The sequence below is a fragment of the Homo sapiens genome, chromosome 15, assembly GCF_000001405.40.
Source record: "Homo sapiens chromosome 15, GRCh38.p14 Primary Assembly".
NCBI classification, from domain to species: Eukaryota; Metazoa; Chordata; class Mammalia; order Primates; family Hominidae; genus Homo; species Homo sapiens.
This window is the reverse complement of record NC_000015.10, coordinates 40,020,189-40,042,396: the sequence shown is the minus strand read 5'-3', so window position 1 is coordinate 40,042,396 and position 22,208 is coordinate 40,020,189. Positions and strand designations below refer to the sequence as shown.

The following is a 22,208-nucleotide window of genomic DNA, read 5'->3' as shown; positions in this document are numbered from 1 at the left end:
GCCCAATGTTATCAATGATAGCGCTGTCCAGTAGAATTTGTGATGATGGAAATGCTCTACATCTGTACTATCCAAGCCACATATTGCTACTGAATCCTTGAAATGTGGCTAGTGTGATTGAGGAATTAAAATTTTAAAATTAATTTAAACATCTATATTTACCATATTAGAGCAAGCCTAAGGCTCTTACATATAGTATTTTATACAATCTTCATAATCTCAATGAAGTAAGCATTATTTTGTTACTTTGCTAGTGAAGAGACTTAGGCCTTGAGAGGTTGCCTGAGGCCACATAATCAATAAGTAGCAGACGTAGGATCTGAACCCCGATCACTTTGACTTCTGAATAGGTGCTCTTGGTCATTTCCCACAGAAAAACAAAGCCCAAAGAATATTCCATCAGTAGTTGAATTGCACTGGATCCAGTGCAATGCACGCATTCCATGTACTAGGACATAGACATCTCTGGGGGATCATCCAGCCTGCCACCGAGATTTTTGCAGAAGTCCAGATGCTAGTGTGATTGCAATCAGATTAAACTTTCAAGATAGCTAACAGGACTCATGCAGGTGTAGATGTGAAAATTAAAAGAAAAAGAACAGCTGGTGGCAGCGGCTCATGCCTATAGACCCAAGTACTTAGGAGGCTGAGGCTGGAGGATAGCTTGAGCCTGAGAGGTGGACGCTGCAGTGAGCCGAGATTGCACCACTGCACTCTAGCCTGGGTGACAGAGTGAGACCCTGCCTCAAAAAGAAAAAGGAATCTGGGATGATTCATGGTTGTTTTTATTTGAGTAACTGGTCAGACGGTGGTGCCATTTAATAAATAGCAAAGATGTGGGAAGTAAAAAGTTTTGATTTGGTCACGTAATATCTGAGATGCTCATTACACATCCAGGTGGAACTACCAAGTGGACAGCTGAATATGCAAGTTTGGAGCTCAATACAGAGGTAAAAGCTATAATTAAAAATTGGGGAGTCATCTTCGCACACCTCAAGACTAGCAAAGATTAGAACAGTCTGGTGAAAACCCCTCCTATAGGGCCGCCAACACAAGACCACTTTGTGATGGCACCATATGAATAACCTCTAGCATGCGTGTCCAACCTTTTGGCTTCCCTGGGCCACATTGAAAGAATCGTCCTGGGCCATATGTAAAACACACTAACACTAATGATAGCTGATGAGATAAAATTTTTTTAAAAAGGGCCCATGCATAATTTTCATGATATCTGCCAATACAGATGAGCAAAAACATCCTCACATTCAAATGACTGGACACCCATGCAAGAGCCCTGGGCCTTGGTATTACTAGCTCAGAAGTCAAAGTCCTGGTTGAGAGCACCAGATTGACCCACGTTAGGTCATATGCTTGAGCCCAGGTGCTGAGGGCAGTTGAGAGAGTGACCCTCTGACCCTTCTATTTATTTATTTATTGCCTCTCACCAAAACCCACACAACAGGGGATTGCAAACAGGTTCAAATGCTGGAGAACCAAAAGCCAATACAGGTTGGCTACACAAGGTCATCAGCCTAGGGCAGGAAGTGGGCAACGGGCGCTGGCCATTTGGAAGAAAATGTGAAATCAGAGAGTGAACATATTTAAGCCATTAAGTTTGAATCTCCTAACTGGGCTCCTCATTTCCTGCCCTGTCTCTCTACAGTGCATTCTCCACAACACAGACAGGGGGATCTTTAAAAAATATAAATCAGATTTTCAGTGTTCTGTTGAAAACTTCCTTAACGAGTCTTCTCTTTGTATCTAGAACAAAATCCAGGCTTACTATGGTCACGGGCCCTACATAATCTGGTCCCCAGCTACCTCTCCATACTCCTTTACTCCTTGCTCCACAAGCCCTCCTCACCCCCACCCGCACCTGCCAGTCTTACAGACACAGGGCAACTTGTTTCCCCTTTGAAGGTTTTGCTCTAGCCGTTCCCTGTGTCTGAAACACTGTGTCCCTAGATCTTTGGATGGCTGGTCCTTTCAGCTTTCAACTCAAAGTTCTCCTTTTCGACGAGAACTCCCCTGACCCCAACCCAGGCAGTCCCCTTCCCACTCTCATTATACAGCCCTGCTTAGGCTGTCTCACGGAATTCATTATCTGAAGCTGTACTACTTACTTGTTTGCTTCATTGTTTATTTCCTCCCTGCCCCTTTAACCCAACTTCCAGGAAACCAGGAACTTAGCTTTTCTTATCCTGCTGCATCCCCAACCTCTACAACCGTGCCTGGCACAGACTGAGAGGCACTCAGCGAAAACCTCTTGTGTGGTGGAATGCTTGACTTTATAGAGGGCCCAGGGTTCAAGTTGGCTAGTGGCAGAGAGGGCTTACAACCTAGTTCTCCTGACTAATCAGAGGTAGAACTAAAGACTGGGCTCCAGCCCCTCATTTTTTTTTTTTTTTTTTTTTTTTTTGAGACGGAGTCTCGCTCTGTCTTCCAGGCTGGAGTGCAGTGGCGCGATCTCAGCTCACTGCAAGCTCTGCCTCCTGGGTTCACGCCATTCTCCTGCCTCAGCCTCCCGAGTAGCTAGGATTACAGGTGCCCGCCACCACGCCCGGCTAACTTTTTTGTATTTTTAGTAGAGACAGCGTTTCACCGTGTTAGCCAGGATGGTCTCAATCTCCTGACCTCGTGATCCACCCGCCTCGGCCTCCCAAAGTGCCGGGATTACAGGCGTGAGCCACCACGCCCGGCCCAGCCCTTCTGGCTAGAGCTGCAGGTCAGCGTTTAGGGAGAGTTTAAAGGATCTCTACAGGAACTTATAATGACAATAATGAAAAGAACAATAGCTGATACCTACTGAACACGCTCTATGTGCCAGGCACTGTTCTACGTATTTAATCTGAGTTTCATTTACGCTTCACGACCACACTGCGCGGTAGATACTATCATTACCCTTACTTTATGGATAAGGAAACTGAGTCACTGAGTTGTTAGGTTACCTGCCCAGCATACAGCTGAATATAAATCGTACGCTGCTATCAAAACTTTCTTTTGCTCTCACTCCGTCACACTGGCTGGGGTGAGACGATTTCTCGCATGTGACGACCCAGGACAGCCCCAGCGCCTCCGGGTCACAGGCCCCCGGACGTCCCAGGGCGCGGGCGCTAGGCGGGCGGGGAGGGGGGAGGGCGCAGGCCGGGATTGGTGGAAGAGAAGAGATTGGTGGAAGACAATGGAAGTCTAGTAGCGGAAGTCCCGCCCAGCCTAGGCCGAACTTCCGGCTCTCACTGCTAGGGGCTTAAGCGGAGGGAGTCGAGCCAGCGTCGCCGCGATGGTGTTGTTGGAGAGCGAGCAGGTATGGCTAGGCCTGGCCGGCCGAGGGAAGGGGGCGGCTCAGGCGTTACTCGAGACCTGTGCCTCCTGCAGGAGGACCAGGGCCTTGACGCGGCAGGACGAGGATTTGGGGCTGGCTAACGGGGCTGGGCCTGTTGTTTTCCAGTTCCTGACGGAGCTGACCAGACTTTTCCAGAAGTGCCGGACGTCGGGCAGCGTCTATATCACCTTGAAGAAGTGTAAGCAGCGGGAGGGGAGCCGGGCGATGCTCCCTGGGTTCCCGGTGTCTGGGAGCCACCGGAGTCTGTCTGCCGCGGACCGCCGCCTTCCTCTACCTTTCCCCACCCTGTACTGAGCACATTCGGGGCTTCGGGCCCGGAAAATAGTAGGGATTGTAGCTGGCTCAGTCCCCAGCACTGAGCCGCCTAGGTTGCTTCTGGTAACAATGGGCCCCAAGCAGCCCAGGGCTCTTTGTCAGGGATCCCAGACGCCGCCACTTTGAGTGGAATTTAACGTGCTTCGATATTACATGTTTCCGTCGTGGAAATAATAGTTTCTCCAGGGTTTCGCCAGACCGTGATAGCAGATGAGGTGTTTAACAAAACTAGAGCAGCGGGGCTGGGTTAGGTCATCACTTACCCCACTCCTCTGTTTTAACTGTTTGTCTGCCGCTCAGCCACGTACGCGGCCGTGTTCACCAGGATGCATTTTTTCCTTCAGATGACGGTCGAACCAAACCCATTCCAAAGAAGGGTACTGTGGAGGGCTTTGAGCCCGCAGACAACAAGTGTCTGTTAAGAGCTACCGATGGGAAGAAGAAGATCAGCACTGTGGTGAGCTTAATTTCTAAGGCTGTCTTTTGAAATGTAAAGACTTGAACTTAACAGAGGATGGGGCGTTTCTGAACCAGGCTTTTATTTGTTTTTCCCTTTTGCCCTGTGTGGCTATTTTTGAGACCAGGACCTTCCTATACTTTAGTAGTGGAAACCTCAAGAATAAAATAAGAAGGTAGAGGTCAGACAGTCGTTAGTTCTGCTAAAGCTCTTGTGGAAATGAAAGTAGCATATTGGTCCTTATTCGTAGTACTGTAAGGAGCAGCTGGCATAAATATTTGATTCCTTAGCCCCTTACTGTGCTGGGCCTTCAATAAGCAGTTTCTTGGTACCAGGTGATGCTATTATTTCCTTATCTTTGTGGTTCACATGGCGAATGTGCAGCTAGATGTTAGGTTTGACACTTGAGAAAATATACATTTAGTCAAGAGCCCTAGTCTTTCAGTGGAGGTTGAATAAGGCAAAGGAAGAGGCTCCTTGAATTGAGTGAATACTACTTTATTCTGCTGTGGCAGAAATCACATTAGTGTAGGATACTGACTGCATGAAAATGTAGACTATACTTAGTTGGAAGTCTTGAGTTATCTTGAGAGGACTTCTACAGTAAAACAAGCTTATGTGGTTTTACAGATTAAGTTAGATATCATGAAATAACAAAAACCTAAGGACAAGTTATCTTGAGAGGACTTCTACAGTAAAACAAGCTTATGTGGTTTTACAGATTAAGTTAGATATCATGAAATAACAAAAACCTAAGGAGTGTTCTTCAGAGGTAGAATTTATTTTGTGGTAGCTCGCATTGTGCTTAAATATGCTTGAATTAATGGAAGGCAGGTTTAAAAATAAGATGGGGAGGGAGTAGTTTAAATATATCTTCTATTAATGTATAAAAAATTAATACTGAGAAGTCCTCTGACTTTTCTCAGAACCCAGGGAGAAAACCCAATGCCACCTTTCTAAGGGATTTCAAGAGGTGAGAAACAAAGCTTTTTTTTTTTTTTTCCCCAAAAGGAGCCTACTGCCTTTCACCTCTTGGTGCAATTCTCATGTGGAAAAAGATGCAGAGCTCCTTTTCTTGTTCTCTAGGCAGAGGAAAGTAGAGTAGAAAAATAACCATTCGTGTATTATGAACCCTGAAGTTGGGGAGAAGTATTTTAAAGATAAGGATATTGTCTTCCGGAGGCTTTTGAGATACTATCTGGGGTGGAGAAGAGGATGCTTATATGGATAATAGGTATGACCTCTTTTTTCCTTCTTTTTCAGGTGAGCTCCAAGGAAGTGAATAAGTTTCAGATGGTGAGTTTTGGGTGTTCCTTATGTTTCCCTTCTCAGGGCAAGAGTCAGTATGATAGTGAACACTGGGTAAGATTGATACTTGGGTTCACTGCTCTCCGGAGATAAGTTTTACCAGTATGTTTCAAGTAAAAGCTGCCAGGGTGTGAATTTCAATGCTAATACCGTCTTCCTTTCTAGTTTTTTTAAGTTAGATTTTGTCTTAGGCTGTAGATATATGCTACCTATACTATAGTTGAACAAGAAGTTGCCTGCAATTTTCCCTTGGAAAAAAACGTAAAAAATGTGTGCAACTGTCTGTGGGTGTTGCAGAAGCTGCTATAATGTGAAAGAGTGTTTTATGCTTATACCATTTTCCGGTACAAGTGTCCAATGGTGCTATATTCTTTCCTGATTTTTGGCTACCCTAAATCCATTATGCAGATAGGGCTGGTGTTCTGCCAGTTTGCACATCTTCCCACTAAGGTATGCTCTGTTGTATCTTTCAGGCTTATTCAAACCTCCTTAGAGCTAACATGGATGGGCTGAAGAAGAGAGACAAAAAGAACAAAACTAAGAAGACCAAAGCAGCAGCAGCAGCAGCAGCAGCAGCACCTGCCGCAGCAGCAACAGCACCAACAACAGCAGCAACAACAGCAGCAACAGCAGCACAGTAAAGGGCATACATTTCCTGCTTTCACCAATTAACCACTGAATTGCTATTTTTTCCTTTTGGCCAGATAGCTAGGTTTCTGGTTCCCCCACAGTAGGTGTTTTCACATAAGATTAGGGTCCTTTTGGAAAGAATAGTTGCAGTGTTTATAGGATAGTTGTGGTAAGAATCTAGTTTATTTTGCATTTGGCTAATTGGTCTGTGCTGCATGGTTATATACTCCTGGATTATAGATTAAAAGTCTCTGTAGACATCTCTGTGAAGAGCAAGCTATCATTAAACATGTCTGTTTATCAGCACTGTCTCTTTATTCCTTTCCCAACCCATTTTAATAGTTCTGGCAATAACTACTAAATCTAGAATGATGTGATTAATGAATAGGCTTTAGCTCTATAATATCTTCTAGGTTATTAGAATTGAAACCTGACAGTTTTATAAAAAGTCATGTTATCTCATGAGCTGCTTCCCACCTGGCTGTATAATTTTATCATCATGGTTCCCCAGTTTCGATGAGTTCTCACAGTCAAATGAGAGTTTGTTTAACCACCTTAGGAGAAACATACTACAAAGTCATCAAGAATAAAGGTTCCAAAGTAATTATGATTTTTGGTTTCTTTATGCCCTTTGGTTTGGATATTTTCATGTGCTTAGTCATTACAGCCAAGGGAAGAAAAGGCTATTTACCTTATGTTCCAGCTCCCTAAAACCTTTAGTGTTAATAGATTTACAATTAAAAAGCAGCAGGTATATGAAAGCATTTATTATATCCCAAAAGATAAATTTATAATATATTACACATGAAAAACTAACAAAGCTCAACTTTGTAGGACAGCTTCTTAGAAAAAAATTTTTTTTTTCTTTTTTTTTTTAAGACAGGGTCTTGCTCTGTTGTCCCAGACTGGAGTGCAGTGGCGCAGTCACAGCTCACTGCAGCCTCAACCTCCTGAGGCTCAGATGATCCATCTCAGCCTCTGGAGTAGCTGGGACTACAGGCATGTGCCACCATGCCCAACTAATTTTTTTAGTTTTTATAGAGATGGGGTCTTGCTTTGTTGCTCAGGCTGGTCTCAAACTCCTGGTTTCAAGCAGTCTTCCTGCCTTGGCTTCCCAAAGTGCTGGGATTAAAGGTGTGAGCCACTGCACCCAGCCTCTTCTTAGAATTTAATTTTAAATTATGATGAATGTACAACATTCCATTATTCCAGTATAAGCCTCTGTCTGTTTGAATGAGGTTAACGACAGTTCTTTAGGGTTAAAATAAGATTCTGTAGTAGTCATCTCTATAGCTGTACAGAAATAGCACAGACACCCTGCAAAAGAAAAGAAAAGATATAAGGACAGACTCAGTTTAATGAGTGAAGAACAGAGCTAATAAATTTTTATAACACCTGTAGGAGCTTTATTTAAGCAAAAACAAGATGGAAGGCTAGTCATTAAAAAATTATATAGGTTTTATACAAGGTGTGACTGACAGGGGTCTGCAGTATAAGGTCCTAGTAAGGAGATAACCATTCACCTCATAGGCTTCCTTGTTGCCTTTTAAGTGTATGATAACATGAATGATTGATTGATTGATTGGCATTATGACATAAGGACATACAGCAAAGTAGTCATGGTTATTTTCTTTGATTTAAACATACTTAGAAAGTGAATTACCTGGGTGAACAAAATTGTAATTGGGACAGCTACTCCTAGGACCCCTGTGTTTTGTTATTGATGAGATCATGACTGTGATTCACAGTCCAAGCAAGATTTATTGGTTGTCAGCTGCAATTCTAAGAACAGCTTACCAGGCGTCAAACCTCAACAAGACAACAAAATAATGTCACTCTGAAACCCCCCGCCCTGAATTTTAACCATGTGAACCCTGCTATGCCCAAGTGATAACTTACTTTTTTTCTACTTTGATGTTATAAATTTCATCACAGACTAATTTGAGGTATCTTTGCTTTGGCAGGCGTGACAGCAGCTGCTTCACAGTTGTGTTAAATGCCTGTTCATCAGCATCCCACTAGGAAAAAAATAGATAAGACTTAACAACAGGTCTCTAGGGTTTACTAGCTGGTTTTTTCTGGGTCACTAATGAAATTCCAGTGTCATTTCCCTCTTCAAGTATACCAGGAGAATCAGTAATAGGGAGATAGCAGAACCAGTTAGGAGACTGCTGGGGTTCCTCTGAAGCACCAGTTTTCCTTAAAACAAGACTCCCTAATTAGAGCCTGATTAACAATGCTGCAGCCCTAGTGTGCTGATGTGACTTTAGAGCAGTTATTTCTGCCTACCGTTTACTTTTTTTTTTTTTTTTTTTGAGATGGAGTTTCGGTCTTGTTGCCCAGGCTGGAGTGCAGTGGCACAATCTCGGCTCACTGCAACCTCCACCTCCTGGGTTCAAGTAATTCTTCTGCCTCAGCCTCCCAAGTAGCTGGGATTACAGGCGCCTGCCACTACGCCCGGCTAATTTTTTGTATTTTTAGTAGAGATGGGGTTTCACCATGTTGGCCAGGCTGGTCTCAAACCCCAGACCTCAGGTGATCCACCCACGTCGGCCTCCCAAAGTGCTGGGATTACAGGCGTGAGCCACTGCACCCGGCCTCTGTTTACTTTTTGTACAACGGTGATAGCAGCTCTTAAGTATATCCATTTGACTGGATCATAAATCAGTACACTGCCAGTGAGATAGTGGTATATGCTTATTTGTAAGAGAACAAAAAATGATATATAAAATACTAGTTCTAGGGCTAAGTTCACTATTAATCTAATTTAATTTGTGACTAAACACTCTGGATAGACAAAAAAGTATTCTTTGATATGACATGTTGCAAAAGTCACCTGTAGCTATGACTATAGTTGAGTGTTCTTAATAGCAAAGATAACTATTCAAATTTTTAAAGTTCTTATTTAGGCTATTTGATGATAAAGGGATGTACCTGTAAAAATATATATATATTTATAAAGGACCTAATTAATTTTTACAAAAGGATTTTGTTTTGTATAGTACTAATCTGCAAATGAGCTTCCCTAGCTGGAATGGAGGTTTGAGAGATAGTATAGTATAGTGGTTAAGAACACCGATTCTGCTAGTCTGCTTAGGTTCAAATCCTGGTTCTACTACTTACTAGCTGGGTGACTGTGGGTAAGATATTTAACCTCTCTACTTCCGTACTCTGTAAAGGGATAATAACAGTATCTACATTTTGGGGTGGTAATGATTAAATGAGTTACTACTTGTAAAATGCTTACAACAAGGCCTGCCAGACCCTGACACATAGTAAAAGCAGTATATGTGTTTTTTTGTTTTTGTTTTTTGTTTTTAATAAAATAAGTATCTGAAAAATAAAGTCACTAGAAAAGTATGAGTCCTTCAACATAGGATTTAGGAACATATATGTTACATAAAAGGAAAAATGTTACTAAATTCCTGCAGCTGCCAGAAAAATACTATCACTAATGAATGCCGTCTTCAGTATTTTGGCAAACTAATAGCAAAGATTTGGGATCTTAAAGGCCACAGTGCAGAAGAGTTCATATTGCTTACCTCTAATGATAAAAACTGTAATATTGTTTCTTTGGGTAGATCCACCTGTGAATACACACAAATGTACATCAACTCTCAGCAGCACAATACTGCCTTGTGACCATAGTGTCACGTGAAATGCAGCAGTATGAATAGGGTTTGCAGAGTCTGAGATGCTATTGTGCTGTAAAAGGGCTTAATGAACTGTGCAGTGATAAGATCTTAGCCCTGGAGAATTAATAAGCAGTGGAAACTGTACTCCCTGTCCCTCTACACCACACCCGAAAGGTCTGACGCTGCTACATGTATTCGGTGTAAGCTTAGCAAGGCAAAGGCCTGATATATGTAGGAAAATGACTTTTGTTTTCATTTTCCTCTATCTTAAAGAGGAACAAAGAGGAGAAACAAAAAACCTTAAATTCTCCCCCTAGTTCTTAATAGTTTTAAATTGCGTGTAGTTCACATCACAATAAGGCCTGCATCCAAATTCTGCTGACACTGAGCAAAAAAGCTCTGAACCCTGAGGCAACTACTTTGACAGTATGGACAGAAGCCACCTTCAAAATACTAAAGAAAGCCACTTACAGCCAGAATTTCAATTTCACTGCTTTTCTGATGTAAGTTGGCAAGGGAGGTCTGAAGTCGAGTTTGTACCTAAATAGTAAGAAAATGGAATTCAGAACATGTTAAACCAAGCCATCTTTCTTGCCATCTTATTTCCTATCCCAGGATACAATCACAGGGTTACATACCAAAGCCTAGAAAGGATTCCAAATGGTGTCTAAAGGTTTGCCCTTGGCTGGGTACGATGGCTCATGCCCGTAATCCCAGCACTTTGGGAGGCCAAGGCTGGGGGATCACCTGAGGTCAGGAGTTTGAGACCAGCTTGGCCAACATGGTGAAACCCCGTCTCTACTGAAAATAGAAAAATTAGCAGGGCATGGTGGCCGGCGCTTATAATACTAGCTATTCGGGAGGCTGAGGCAGGAGAATCGCTTGAACATGGGAGGCAGAGGTTGTGGTGAGCTGATGTTGCACCACTGCACTCCAGCCTGGGTGACAGAGTGAGACTCTGTCTCAAAAAAAAAAAAGAAGATTTGCTCTTAATCCACTCAGAAAGGGGTGTCTAGCAATATGATCTCAGGGGAAATGAGGTTTTTATAACTTATCTTGACCATTTGTTTAATAATCCTTGTCAATTATCTCTTCATAATTTTGAAATGATTCCTTATAAAGGCGTAGCGCAGTGAAACAGTGCACACAGAGACAGAGAGATGATAGTATGAAGCTAAATTGGGAAAAAGGGAGAGGTGGCAGCAATGAGGACATGGTGTGAGAACTGAAACTTGGTAGGTGATGAAGGCAGTAGGAAGACGGGAAAAATAGGTTTCCACCCAAATCCTGAGAAACAGCTAGAAGAGCTTACAAAAATAAAGTACCTGATTTTTGTATTTCAGTCTGATTACATTTCTAAAATTGACTGCTCTCTTTTAACACTCACTCTTTTGCATATGTCCACAGCATACTCTAACATTCATATTCTATAAATTTAACTCAGTGTTCTACTGTAGTTATTTTATTTTGAGACAAAGTCTTGCTCTGTTGCCCAGGCTGTAGTGTAGTGCCATGATCTTGGCTCACTGCAATCTCTGCCTCCCCAGTTCAAGCAATTCTCCTGTCTCAGCCTCCCGAGTGGCTGGGATTACAGGCGTTTGCCACCACGCTTGGCTAATTTTTGTATTTTTAGTAGAGACAGGGTTTCACCATGTTGGCCAGGGTGGTCTCGAACTCCTGACCTCAAGTGATCCGCCCTCCTCGGCCTCCCAAAGTGCTGGGATTACAGGCATAAGCCACCGCACCTGGCCTATATTTATTTGCTTTTATTATTCTCTATATAATGCATATGCTTCTAAGTTATAAACTCTTTTGAGGACTGGGGCCATGTTAATGTTTTCTACATTTTACACAGCCCTTAGCACACCAGTAGGCATATAGCAAATGCCGAAACCATGTATGGAATGAGAAGCCTGCCTTAAGTCTTGTCATCGGCCTCTTCTACTTTGCTATTTAGAGCACAAACAAACCTCAACTACCTTTAGAGCCAGATTAGATAGTTTTCATTTAGATGCAGTCACTCTGACAACAGCTGCCTTGAGGTGCCCACAGTGCACAATGGCCCCTCTCTGAAGGACAGATGGGAATCCTGGAGCCAGAAGCCACCCAGTTAGGCAAGTTGGAAGAAAAATTTTTTTCTTGGAAAAAATATTTCCAAGAAATTCCATGTTTATCTTATTTTCCTTTCCTGTTGTTGTTTTTCTCTTCTGTAACTCATATTAGAAAGCCAAAGAAACCCTGACCCAGTGTACCTGAGTTTCATAGCGCCTCCTAGTGCTGGCTGACAGCTTCTCCGGGGCTAGCACACTCACAATGGGAACCACTGTTGCTCCATGGATTTCAAACAAACCTGAGACCAAGAGAGTTTCAGAATTTATGGCCTTATCTGGTCCCACTTTCTACAACATACTACAGAGAGATGGCAGAGTTTATTAGTAGACATCCTGTCGTGATTCTAAGGGCTAGATCACGACTGGGCTGTGTTTTCTATCCCTACAACCATCTGCACCGGATAGGTGAGGAGCCCAGAACCCCAACACCCAGCAGTTTTGATGCTTCTCTCCTCAGGCAGGGGTTGGGGGGTGGTGGAAGGGGCAGGGAGGCAACAGGAGTCATCAAAACCTCAGGGGCCTAAGAAAATCAAGCTGAATATCACCAAACCTGCATACTTCTTTAAATTCCTGCAAGAATTGGAAATCTGATGGCAACACAAAGTTAGTGCTAACAGAAGAGAATGGGAAAGACTCAATTCTGTTAAAAGCCAAATATGTCTTCTCATGGCCTTAATTGGAACACTTCTTTAAAAAAGAAGTAAGGTTGCTAGAGGTGATGAAAGCAAAGGCATAACTATCACCACTGTGCCCTCTTGGCTTTCACGAAAACAAAATGTGTATAGTGTCCTTCTTCAAGGGATTTCAAAATACTTCCTTCAATCCTCTGTATGAGGAAAATCTCCAGGAAAATTATACACATTTCACTTGTACAATAAATTGAGTAAAAGGAAGATTAAATCACTTGTAAAAATAAGAGATAGAGTAGAAGAGTCAGCTAAATTCCAGTTGTTTTATCCTTTTCTAGGATGTGGATTTCAAAGCATAGGGATGCATCCCATGTGGTACAATTTATTGCGTATATGTTATTTTAAAAATAGATTTCCAGTGTCACAAGCAGTTAGCTACAGTAATAAGTGCTTAGAGCAAACATATAAGCATCATTATGTTCAGATTATAATTAGTAATTATACCTGAAGCATTAGAAAATGACCCCTTCAGATTTTGCACTGCAAGATTATCGGAAGCTTCTCTAAAAACAAGCAAACAAAAACAATTAAAGAACAGTCAATAAGGCACAAGCAACACATAACTTACAGTGAACTACATGTATAGTGAGCCACTTTTCCATTAAATATAAAAACATCTTCTTGGTTATTGGTGGAAAAACAAAAACAAAAAATTTGCATTTAGTTATGCTTTGGTCAAGAGCAAGTAAAAATTATAAAGGATGTCTTTTTAAGTTAACAAATGCCTAAGGAAAACATTCTGATTTATTCAGCTGGGCGTGAAATCCTGGATCCACACAATAAGCTGATTTCAATGAAATATAATGGGTGTTCTTTCCGCCCCCCTCATAATACAAGGAAACATGAATAACAGCAGCCCCACCTTCATTATGGCAGTAGCCTTGGCAACCACCCACAGGAGAACATTTGGTAAATAAAGATATTCTTTAAAAAGCCGTGAATGGATGTTCTTTCAAATGCTGTGAATTAATTTATAGCCTTTGAGAGAGACAACAGCACTCTATCTTGGGAAAACAGGGAAATAATCATTTGCTGGAGGAAAAACTTTGAACCTTTCCCTGCTAAAACTAAATCCCATGTAGCCTTTTAAGTGTCTTGGTAATGTTCCCCCATACTCACTACTTGGCTATTTCTTGGTTTCTCTTCTAAACCTCTGTCTTTGATTTAGATCTATAATTCCAATACTGGTGATTTCCAGAACATTATGTTCCCTCAGAAACACCTAATGGTGAATTTATTAAGGCTAGGTGCAAATAAGAAGGGGTGGGGGCATGAGAAGAACAGAGCAAGGTTTGTTTTCTGTAAGCCAGGATTTCCCAATCTTGGTACTACTGAAATTTTAGGCCAGAAAATTCTCTGTTGGGGGGTAGTAGTCCTGTACCCTTTAGGATGTTTTCACAGTATCCCTGGCCTCTCCTAGATACCAGTAAAACTCCCCAGTTGTGACAACCAAAAATGTCTCCATACATTGCCAGATGTGCCCTGGGAAGCAAAATCATTGTTGGTTGAGAATTGCTGATGTAAGCCAGAAAAATTACCGTGTGGTATTTTCTGATAATGAGCATACATATAAGAATTTCTTGAGGCGGGAGAGTTGCTTGAGTCCAGGAGTTGGAGACCAGCCTGGGCAACATAGGGAGATCCTGTCTCTACAAATAATTTAAAAAAATTAGCTGGACAAGGTGGTACATGACTACGGTCCCAGCTACTCAGGAGGCCAAGAAGGAAGGATCACCTGAGCCTGGGAGGTTAAGGCTATAGTGAGTCATGTATACACCACTGCACTTCAGCCTCGGCAAAAGTGAGACTCTATCTCAAAAAAAAAAAAAGGAGTTGCAAATATATAGAAAAGCTTAACAAAGTAATTTAAGATCCCTTGTAATCCCACTAACCAAAACTACAATTAAAAATTTGGTACGTTCTTCTAGACATTTTTTTATGTATAGGTTGTATATTTTGTTTAAAACAAAATGGGATTATATATTCGTTGTTGTTGTTGTTCTTTTTGTTTTTTTTTTTGAGACAGAGTCTCGCTCTGTCACCCAGGCTGGAGTGCAGTCCACGATCTCCACTCACTGCAAGCTCCACCTCCCGGGTTCACGCCATTCTCCTGCCTCAGCCTCCCGAGTAGCTGGGACTACAGGTGCCCGCCACCATGCCCCGCTAATTTTTTTGTATCTTTAGTAGAGACGGGGTTTCACCGTGTTAGCCAGGATGATCTCGATCTCCTGACCTCATGATCCCCCCTTCTCGGCCTCCCAAAGTGCTGGGATTACAGGCGTGAGCCACCACGCCCGGCCACAAAATGGGATTATATTAAACATCCTATTTATGGACATCTTTCCATGTCAATGAACTCAGCTTTAGTAGAATCATCATTTTTAAAGGCTGCACAATATTTCACCAAATTATCATAATTCAAACAATCTTCTACCAATGTATATTTTGAAATGAGGTTCTCCAAGTGTGGTCTAGAGAATCTTGAAGGTCCCTCATATCCTTTCAAGGGGTCTTGCAAGGTCAAAACTATTTTCATAATAATCTTAAAATATTAATTGCCTTTTCACTCTCATCCTCTCATAAATGTGCAACCGAGTTTTCCAGAGACTATATGATTTGTGGTATCACAACAGATTGAATACATAAACAGACAGGAGAATCATTTCTTCTACTAAAGTGTTAAAATAGATTACAAAAATGTAAAACAGTGTACTAAAAGATGTGCAAATATTTTAAACAATGCCATTTTCCTTACTAAGTTAATTTTCTTTTGGAAAACAGTTGTTTTTCAATAGAAATATGTTACGTTAGCATGTAATGGGGTTATTGTTATTTTTAAATGAATAAACATATTTAAAATGTTTATGTTTTAATATTTATAGATATAACTCACATAAACAAAAGTTCTTTGGGATCCTGAAATAATTTTTAAGGGTGTAAAGGGGTTCTAAGACCAAAAAGTTTGAGAACTGCTGTTATAAATGAGCCTTGATAGACATCTTTAAAATAATTTTTATTATAAATTCCTGAAAGTGGAATTGCTGGGTCAATTTAAAAAAAATGTTTAGTTTTAAGGCTTTTAATTTACTTTGTCAAATTCCTACCCATATGGTTGATACTCCCATCATGAGGAAGTGAGATCTTTTCCCAGAACGTTACATCTTTCAAAGTACACGGACAAAATATTATTGAAATTCACTGATTAGCAGACTGAATAAGATAATGACAGATAGATTTTGGCTCCTGAGGCTTTTCAAAATGATAAAGTATTCTTGGAAATGGTATGAAGAACAAATGTTGAATGTAAGCTATGATTAGTCTCATACAAGATGGTCATACAATTAAACTCCTGATTGAGTTATTCAGAAGCAACAGAATGGTTCATTAAAAGTAATCCTGACCTATCTTTGTTTCTCAAAAGGATCAAATTGATTTCTTTCTTTTTGTTTTTCTTAGACAGGGTCTTTCTCTTCACCCAGGCTGGAGTGCAGTGGTATGAACATGGCTCACTGCAGCCTTGACCTCCTGGGCTCAAGCAATCCTCCCACCTCAGCTCCTGAGTAGCTGGGACCATAGGAATGCACCACCATGCCCAGCTAATCAAAAAAATTTTTTTTTTAGAAATGGGGTCTTGGTATGTTGCCCAGGCTGGTCTTGCATTCCTGGCCTCAAGTGATTCCCCAAACTTGGCCTCCCAAAGTGCTGGGATTACAGGTGTGAGCCACAGCACCTGGCTCAAATTGACTTTTAAAATAAATTTACGTAGTTTCCATATAGGTAACTGAAGTCACTTTTCTCGGCTTTTGTTTCCTAAGTTACCTGCCATTCCTTTCATCAGTGACTTTAGTCCTCAGTTTCTGCAGTACATGGTCCACAAGTTCAGTCTCCAGCACACGCTTCTCTGTCTGCCTTTCCTTCTCGAAAGACTTAACCTTAAAAAGAATGAAACGGATCTATCATTTGGAGGTTTCTGAACCCAGAAGACTAGCTCAGAGCACCACAGTAAGACTACTAAATCAATAGTTTGGGTCAGTGGTTCTTAACCAGGGTCAATTTTGCTCCCCAGGGGACATTTAGCAATGTCTGGTGACATTTTTGGATGGTGCAACTGGCATGTAGTAGGTAGCGGTCAGAGATGCTGTTAATGCACAGGACAGCCCCCTACAACAGAGAATTATTTGGCCCAAAATGTGAACAGCGCTGCTGTTGAGAAACCCTGGTCTGGACTAGTTTATCACAGATGATAGAATTTTTTTTTTTTAAGGCCAAGATGAATGGGCTCTCATTTCATGTGATTCTTTAACATCTTCCCCTTTAAATCTGGTCAGCCACCAAGGTTTCTCAGATCTCAGCTTCATCTACCACTCCTCCCTCTCCTTTCTAAACCCAAGTCCTGTCATCCCACTTTTATGGCATCTGTCCCTTCATCTTCACTCCCCTGGCCAGCACCCAACCTTGGCCTAGGCTAGTTTGATATTCTTTATACTGCTATCACTGTCCTCGGTTTCTCCCTCACTCTATTCCATGCTACACATCCCTGCAGATTAATTTTTCTCAAACACAACTTTGATGTCTCCTTCTGTTCAAAACATTCGGGGCCTCCCCAATAACTGCTAAATAAAAAAACCAGATTCCTTGGTTGGCATTTGGGCTCTCCATGATGTAGCTATAACCATTTTCTGCTTCTGATCCATCTGTCTCACCCAAAATAGACTATTCAGGGTTGTACCAGAATGGTTCTCTGCTGGCCTGCCTCTATCTTTGGGACAACTACTAAAAGAACTACCATCACCTTTGCAGTTCCCTCTTCCTAAAAGGCCCTTCCAGGACCACGAATTCTTGAGGGTAGGATAAATCCCAGCACCTTCCTGAAGACTTCACTGCTGCCTCTTATGTAAATCTCCCAGCCTGAGGGACCCTTGGAGAACTTTATCTGTAGGACTCTCATGGCATTTAGCAAATCTCATGGCATTTGGCATTTAGTAGAGACCTCGTCTCTACTAAAAATACAAAAATTAGCCAGTCATGGTGGTGCGTGCCTGTAGTCCCAGCTACTCGGGAGGCTGAGGTGGGAGGATCACTTGATCCTGGGAGACAGGTTCCAGTAAGCTGAGATCGCGCCACTGCACTCCAACATAGGTGAGTGAGACCCTGTCTCAAAAAAAAAAACAAAAAAAAGCCAGGATTCTCAGAGTAAAAAAAAAAAAAGGAGGCTGGGCGCAGTGGCTCACGCCTCTAATCCCAGCACTTTGGGGAGCCGAGGTGGGTGGATCATGAGGTCAGGAGCTCGAGACCAGCCTGACCAACATGGTGAAACCCTGTCTCTACTAAAAATACAAAAATTAGCTGGGTGTGGTGGTGTGTGCCTATAAACCCAGCTACTCAGGAGGCTGAGGTAGGAGAACTTGGGAGGTGGAGGTTGCAGCAAGTGGAGATTGCACCACTGCACTCCAGCCTGCGTGACAGAGCAAGAATCCATCTCAAAAAAAAAAAAAAAAAAAAAAAGGAAAACTCAACCTAGTGACTGTGTATAAGAAACTCACTTTAAATATAAAGATAGATAAGTTAGCCAGGTGCAGTGGCACACGCCTGTATCCCAGCTGGAGGCTGAGGTGAGAAGATTGCTTGAGCCCAGGCGTTCAAGGCCAGCCTGGGCAACATGATGAGACCCCCATCTCTTAAAAAAAAAAGACAGGTTAAAAATAAAAGGATGGAGAAAGGTAGTGACGTAAACACTAACCAAAAGATTTCAGAACAAGAAATATTACCAGGGATAAGGAATATTTTATAATGATGAAGACAATTCATCAAGAAGATATAAAATCCTAAACATGTATAATAACAAAGCTTCAAATTTTTTTCTGTAAAGGGCCAGATAGGAAATGTTTTAAGCTTTGAGGGCCATACATAGTTGGAGTCACACACTCTCCTTTGTTTGTTGTTGTTTTTTAACAAAGAATGTAAAAATTTCTAGTTCACAGACATATAAAAGCAGGCTATGGGCTGAATTTGGTCCAAGGTGTAGTTTGTCAATACCTCATCTAAAGTTCTACCTGAAGAAACTAAAAAAAGAATAAACTAAATCCAAAATAAGCAGAAGGAAGAAAATAGTAATGGATAAGAGTGGAGATGAATAAAATAGAAAACACATGAACAAATAAAAACTGAGAAAAATCAATGACACCAAAAGCTGGTCCTTGGAAAGACAAAACTGATCAATCTCTAGCCAGGCTGATTAGACAAAAAAGAGGGAGGACACAAATTACCCATATCAGGTCTGAAGGAGGGAGCATCACTGCAGATCCTAGAGACAGTGAAACAATAACAGGGGAATATCTGAAAACTCAGACGAAATGGAAAAGTTCCGGGAAAGATATAAACTACCAAAGCTGCCTCTAGAAGAAAGAGGTAACCAGAATAGCTCTATATATAGAAATATTTGAGATTGGACTTCTAATACTAATTGTATACAGTATCTTACAGAAAACAGAAGAGGAGAGAACACTCTCCAACTCATTTCATCAGGCCAACATTACCCTGATATCGAAACCAAAAAAAAATTAGAAGAGAAAAATATTTTTAAGAAAGTTTTTTTCCCTTTAAAAATAATTAGAAATAAAGGTTATGAGGTGGTATATTTATGAACACTTTTAGTTGAATACAAAAAAGTAAAATTGGTTACAAAGCAATGAGAGGATATGCCTATCAGCAGATACAACTTTACTTATTCTTATTTTCTTAGCTGGAAAAAGAGAACAAGAGGAGAAAAGTAGGAAAAAACCACAGCCAGTTTTTTTGTTTGTTTTGCTTTTTAAAGCTTTAATGAAGGTGGACTCTCTTCCTTATTTTATACACATTTTCTTCAGCAAGAAACCCAACAACGGCCGGGCGCGGTGGCTGACCCCTGTAATCCCAGCACTTTGGGAGGCCGAGGCGGGCAGATCACGAGGTCAGGAGACCATCCTGGCCAACATGGTGAAACCCCGTCTCCACTAAAAATACAAAAAATTAGCCGAGCGTGGTGGCGGGCACCTGCAGTCCCAGCTACCGGGGAGGCTGAGGCAGGAAAATGGCGAGAACCCGGGAGGCGGAGCTTGCAGTGAGCCGAGATTGCGTCATTGCACTCCAGCCTGGGAGACAGCGAGACTCCGTCTCAAAAAAAAAAAAGAAACCCAACAATGGAAAGGGAGAGTAGAGGGAACGGATTTCCAGTCACCTACACGGCCCGGGCCTCAGTGTGAAGGCAGGTGCTCCACAGGTAACACCTAACTATTGAATTGTAAAAAATCTCTGACGTCTTTACCTTGACATGGCTTCCTTCTTTATCCGAGACAAGGGCCACATAGGTGATTTCATGATGTCTGCAGTACTCTTGTAATTCCTCTTGGGACTGAAACAAACAAACATAGTAAAGAAAATAAACACAGAGCACCTGGAACAGCTTCAAGTAATTAAGGAGAATGAAAATACTGTTTCCAATTATATTCTCAATGTGAATTACTAAAATGCTGACTTCAGGGGGATATAAATATTAAGCAAGAAGCCGCATAGAATTCAAGGGAGGAACAAGGCCTCTCTTGCCTCCCTTCCCTTCATGATTGTTTAAAGGGCCATGAATAATCAATCAATAGTAAGAGGTTTTCAAAAGCTTCAAGACTTAATAAAAGATGCCCAAAATTATACAACACAACATACACACACACACACACACACACACACACACACACGCTGAAAAAGCCTCTGAGGAAAATGAAGGAAACAAAGGAAATAAGGGAAGGTGAAAAGCAGAACTGAAGAAGCAAACCAGGAGGGGGCAGAGAAGCCTGTGGGGTGTCACTGTGCAGGACTGAGGTCACTGGCCACGAGGCTTGGATTTTACTGCAGGACAGAACACTTCTCTAATGATTTATGAAACATGTGAACAAGTAGAAGAGGACACTGTTCTGTCAAATGATTAAAAATTGTTGCTCAGCACACTTCTGATGTGAATTTTGATACAACACACACACACGAGTAAACAGCAGCAGCTTCAGAAGCCTCCTGGCAGGTGATGTAAACAGAGCAGGTGGGAGGGTGGTGGGTCTGTGTCCCTGGTCATCGCCATGCTCTGGGGCACCTTTAGTGTGGGCGAATGTGGGTACAACCTGGATGATCTCCTGGGAGTGCACCCCTTCTATGGTCTGCTTACGCCCCCATTCCAAAGGGCAGGCATGTGTCCTGGGTGCCACTTTCCACACCTCCACACCCACGGCAAGTGTCAGGCCTGCATGCTGTGGGAGGTCTCAGGATACAGAGCCCAAAACACACTAAGCACTGAGTGCCTTCAGAAGTGTGGCAGGCTGGAGTACAGCCCCGCAAAGATGTCCATATCCTCATTCCTAGAACCTGTGAGTGATCAACCAGGATTATCTGGGTGGGCCCCACGTAATCACAGGGTGCATGTATGAGGGAGCTGGACAGACAAGAGTTAGAGACAGATGTAAGAACAGAAGCACAGGTCAGCAAGGAAGGAGGCGCTTCATTGCTGAGTGTGATGATGGAGGAAGAGGCCATGAGCCAAGGAATGCAGGAGGCCTCTAGGAGCCAGAAAAGGGAAGGACACAGATTCTCCCCTAGAGCTTCCCAGAGGAGCCAGCCCTGTTGAATTTAACCCAGTGAAAGTGCTTTTGGATTTCTGACTTCCAGAAATGTAAGATAATAAATATGTGTTTAAGCCAGTAAGTTTGTGGTAATTGGTTACTGCAGCAATCAGAAACTAACACAGGAGGCAACTCGAATTACAGAGATAAACAGAGTTTGACAGTCTATAGGTGCAGAGGATATTTGCCATGAAAGCCATAGCAATTTGCACTTCACTCACAGGTGCTTTTTGTCCCATTACCTGTGACCAGTCGTACATGATTTCTGCTGTGATGCCTGCTGTCCAGAGTTTCTGGGTTAGGTTGATGGCCCTGGACATAGACATCTGGCCAACACTTACAACCAGGAGGTCACAAGAGCTTATTGTAACCTGGATCAGAAACAGACCGGTTACAGTTAGAGGAGCAAGACTGCAGGCATGGAAGTGAAACCAGCATCAGGAGGGGAGGCAGCACTCTTGGGAAGATGGGCATTCTTGAAATCCTGCATAGAAACACAGCGTGCCAAAGACTTTGCTTCAAAACACATTGTAAAAAAAAAAAAAAAAGACACACTCAAACAACTTTTTCTTTTTTTTTCTGAGACAGAGTCTCACTCTGTCACCCAGGCTGGAGTACAGTGGCACGATCTCCGCTCACTGTAACCTCCGCCTCCTGTGTTTAAGCCATTCTCCTGCCTCAGCCTCCAGAGTAGCTGGATTACAGGCGTGCACCACCATGCCCGGCTAAAATAAATAAATAAATAAATAAATAAATATATATACATATATATATTTGGTCTTTTTAGTAGGGATGTTGTTCTGCTTGTTGGCCAGGCTGGTCTCGAACTTCTGGCCTCAAGTGATCCACCTGCCTTGGCCTTATTGGGATATAGCTGGAATTACAGGCATGAGCCACCATGCTCGGCCACAGTAAAAAAAAAAAAAATGTTATGTTAGTCTTTCAAGACAGAAATTATTTCAACTACCCTGAGCCATCTGGAAAATACCATTTTTCTCTAGGAAAACTAATCTTGCCTGAAATACAAGGGGGAAAAAAAGCTATTTCTAGCTTTGTAGACCACAGCAGGATTTCTTTTCTT

General features: G+C 42.1%; 2 protein-coding genes and 2 long non-coding RNA genes across 8 annotated transcripts in view, besides 7 other annotated features; 1 reads left to right on the top strand and 3 right to left on the bottom strand.

The window, feature by feature from the left end:
* The window catches only part of SRP14-DT (SRP14 divergent transcript), a 28,199-nt gene extending 25,113 nt beyond the window's left edge, over nucleotides 1-3,086 (bottom strand). For 3 of the 4 annotated variants that reach the window (NR_040060.1, NR_040061.1, NR_040062.1), the window contains exon 1: nucleotides 2,949-3,086. This is a non-coding gene — a long non-coding RNA (SRP14 divergent transcript). Of the gene's footprint in view, nucleotides 1-2,806 lie in introns of all 4 variants that reach the window. The other variant, NR_040059.1, reaches the window with a different exon arrangement.
* Nucleotides 2,308-3,252: an enhancer, noted in NCBI's record as "H3K27ac hESC enhancer chr15:40331346-40332290 (GRCh37/hg19 assembly coordinates)". NCBI's record gives its function as "activates a minimal SCP1, AML or CMV promoter by ChIP-STARR-seq in primed H9 embryonic stem cells {active_cell/tissue: H9 hESC(primed)}" and the evidence as "EXISTENCE:reporter gene assay evidence [ECO:0000049][PMID:30033119]".
* Nucleotides 3,013-3,222: a silencer, noted in NCBI's record as "silent region_6315". NCBI's record gives its function as "represses an Ori minimal core promoter by ATAC-STARR-seq in GM12878 lymphoblastoid cells {active_cell/tissue: GM12878}" and the evidence as "EXISTENCE:reporter gene assay evidence [ECO:0000049][PMID:35858748]".
* On the top strand, nucleotides 3,195-6,707 carry SRP14 (signal recognition particle 14). 2 transcript variants are annotated; one of them, NM_001309434.1, is made up of 6 exons: nucleotides 3,195-3,304; nucleotides 3,449-3,521; nucleotides 4,003-4,115; nucleotides 5,049-5,088; nucleotides 5,379-5,411; nucleotides 5,897-6,707. In NM_001309434.1, exons 3-6 carry the CDS (start codon nucleotides 4,090-4,092, stop codon nucleotides 6,062-6,064), a joined length of 267 nt encoding a protein of 88 aa, NP_001296363.1. In that variant the 5' UTR covers nucleotides 3,195-3,304; nucleotides 3,449-3,521; nucleotides 4,003-4,089; the 3' UTR covers nucleotides 6,065-6,707. The 2 variants fall into 2 exon arrangements, with proteins under 2 accessions (NP_001296363.1, NP_003125.3); NM_003134.6 differs by lacking the exon at nucleotides 5,049-5,088 and having other exon boundaries at nucleotides 3,216-3,304.
* Nucleotides 3,253-4,198: an enhancer, noted in NCBI's record as "H3K27ac hESC enhancer chr15:40330400-40331345 (GRCh37/hg19 assembly coordinates)". NCBI's record gives its function as "activates a minimal SCP1, AML or CMV promoter by ChIP-STARR-seq in primed H9 embryonic stem cells {active_cell/tissue: H9 hESC(primed)}" and the evidence as "EXISTENCE:reporter gene assay evidence [ECO:0000049][PMID:30033119]".
* Nucleotides 3,303-3,482: an enhancer, noted in NCBI's record as "active region_9221". NCBI's record gives its function as "activates an Ori minimal core promoter by ATAC-STARR-seq in GM12878 lymphoblastoid cells {active_cell/tissue: GM12878}" and the evidence as "EXISTENCE:reporter gene assay evidence [ECO:0000049][PMID:35858748]".
* Nucleotides 3,503-3,552: an enhancer, noted in NCBI's record as "active region_9220". NCBI's record gives its function as "activates an Ori minimal core promoter by ATAC-STARR-seq in GM12878 lymphoblastoid cells {active_cell/tissue: GM12878}" and the evidence as "EXISTENCE:reporter gene assay evidence [ECO:0000049][PMID:35858748]".
* LOC124903471 (uncharacterized) lies at nucleotides 3,988-5,095 on the bottom strand. Its single transcript, XR_007064596.1, has 2 exons — nucleotides 4,868-5,095; nucleotides 3,988-4,776 (listed from the first exon to the last, which is right to left on the bottom strand). It is a non-coding gene; the product is annotated as an uncharacterized LOC124903471 (long non-coding RNA).
* EIF2AK4 (eukaryotic translation initiation factor 2 alpha kinase 4) overlaps nucleotides 6,806-22,208 on the bottom strand; it is a 101,477-nt gene continuing 86,074 nt past the window's right edge. The window contains exons 31-39 of the mRNA NM_001013703.4: nucleotides 21,370-21,498; nucleotides 19,792-19,878; nucleotides 16,308-16,420; nucleotides 12,933-12,991; nucleotides 11,941-12,038; nucleotides 10,160-10,228; nucleotides 9,596-9,640; nucleotides 7,953-8,071; nucleotides 6,806-7,370 (exon numbers count right to left, since the gene is read on the bottom strand). Coding sequence (NP_001013725.2) covers nucleotides 7,313-7,370; nucleotides 7,953-8,071; nucleotides 9,596-9,640; nucleotides 10,160-10,228; nucleotides 11,941-12,038; nucleotides 12,933-12,991; nucleotides 16,308-16,420; nucleotides 19,792-19,878; nucleotides 21,370-21,498 — 777 coding nt within the window. The 3' untranslated portion in view covers nucleotides 6,806-7,312. The remainder of the gene's footprint in view (nucleotides 7,371-7,952; nucleotides 8,072-9,595; nucleotides 9,641-10,159; nucleotides 10,229-11,940; nucleotides 12,039-12,932; nucleotides 12,992-16,307; nucleotides 16,421-19,791; nucleotides 19,879-21,369; nucleotides 21,499-22,208) is intronic.
* Nucleotides 19,022-19,521: an enhancer, noted in NCBI's record as "H3K4me1 hESC enhancer chr15:40315077-40315576 (GRCh37/hg19 assembly coordinates)". NCBI's record gives its function as "activates a minimal SCP1, AML or CMV promoter by ChIP-STARR-seq in primed H9 embryonic stem cells {active_cell/tissue: H9 hESC(primed)}" and the evidence as "EXISTENCE:reporter gene assay evidence [ECO:0000049][PMID:30033119]".
* Nucleotides 19,522-20,023: an enhancer, noted in NCBI's record as "H3K4me1 hESC enhancer chr15:40314575-40315076 (GRCh37/hg19 assembly coordinates)". NCBI's record gives its function as "activates a minimal SCP1, AML or CMV promoter by ChIP-STARR-seq in primed H9 embryonic stem cells {active_cell/tissue: H9 hESC(primed)}" and the evidence as "EXISTENCE:reporter gene assay evidence [ECO:0000049][PMID:30033119]".